The sequence below is a fragment of the Homo sapiens genome, chromosome 6 (assembly GCF_000001405.40).
Source record: "Homo sapiens chromosome 6, GRCh38.p14 Primary Assembly".
Classification (NCBI taxonomy): Eukaryota; Metazoa; Chordata; class Mammalia; order Primates; family Hominidae; genus Homo; species Homo sapiens.
The window spans coordinates 15,203,022-15,204,334 of NC_000006.12; the positions used below are offsets into that span (position 1 = coordinate 15,203,022).

A 1,313-nucleotide genomic window follows, 5' to 3' on the forward strand; every position below is an offset into this window, starting at 1 on the left:
GGCCGAGGCGGGCGGATCACCTGAAGTCAGGAGTTTGAGACCAGCCTGACCAACATGGAGAAACTCCGTCTCTACTAAAAAAAATACAAAATTAGTCAGGCGTGGTGGCACATGCCTGTAATCCCAGCTACTCGGGAGGCTGAGGCAGGAGAATCACTTGAACCTCGGAAGCGGAGGTTGCAGTGAGCTGAGATCACGCCACTGCACTCCAGCCTGGGCAACAACAGTGAAACTCTGTCTCAAAAAAAAAAAAAAAGAAAGAAAAAGAAAAGAAAAAGAGTAATTCACACCGAGCCAGCTGTGCAGGAGACTGGAGTTTTATTTTATTTTATTTTATTTTATTATTTTATTTTTGAGACAGAGTCTCGCTCTATCACTCAGGCTGGAGTGCAGTGGCTCCATCTCGGCTCACTGCAACCTCCGCCTCCCGGGTTCAAGCGATTCTGCTGCCTCAGCCTCTCGAGTAGCTGAGATTAATAGGCGCCCACCACCACGTCCGGTTAATTTTTTTGTATTATTAGTAGAGACGGGGTTTCACCCTGTTAGCCAGGATGGTCTGGATCTCCTGACCTCGTGATTTGCCCGCCTCAGCCTCCCGAAGTGCTGGGATTACAGGCGTGAGCCACCATGCCTGGCTGGAGTTTTATTATTACTCAAATCAGTCTCCCTGAATTGGGGAGCAGAGTTTAAGGATAACTTGGTGGGTAGGGGGAAGCCAGTGAGCCAAGAGTGCTGATTGGTCAGAGATGAAATCAAAGGGAGTCCCGGGTGTCTTCTTGTGCTCAGTCAGTTCCTGGGTGGGGGCCACAAGATCAGATGAGCCAGTTTATTGATCTGGGTGGGGCCAGCTGACCCATCAAGTGCAGGGTCTGCAAAATATCTCAAGCACTGATTTTTTTTTTTTTCTTGAGGCGGAGTCTCGCTCTGTTGCCCAACCTGCAGTGCAGCGGCGCGATCTCGGCTCACTGCAACCTCCGCCTCCCGGGTTCACGCCATTCTCCTGCCTCAGCCTCCCGAGTAGCTGGGACTACAGGCGCCCGCCACTACGCCCGGCTAATTTTTTTTGAATTCTTAGTAGATTCGGGGTTTCACCATGTTAGCCAGGATGTTCTTGATCTGACCTCGTGATCCGCCCGCTTCAGCCTCCCAAAGTGCTGAGATTACAGGCGTGAACCACCGTGCCCGGCCTCAAGCACTGATCTTAAGAGCCGTTTAGGGAGGGTCAGGATCTTGTAGCCTTCAGCTACATGACTCCTAAACCATAATTTCTAATCTTATGGCTCATGTTGGTCCTACAAAGGCAATCTAGTCCC

At 50.6% G+C, this 1,313-nt stretch overlaps 1 annotated feature.

Annotated features, from left to right (window-relative positions):
- Positions 518–1,070: an enhancer, noted in NCBI's record as "H3K4me1 hESC enhancer chr6:15203770-15204322 (GRCh37/hg19 assembly coordinates)". NCBI's record gives its function as "activates a minimal SCP1, AML or CMV promoter by ChIP-STARR-seq in primed H9 embryonic stem cells {active_cell/tissue: H9 hESC(primed)}" and the evidence as "EXISTENCE:reporter gene assay evidence [ECO:0000049][PMID:30033119]".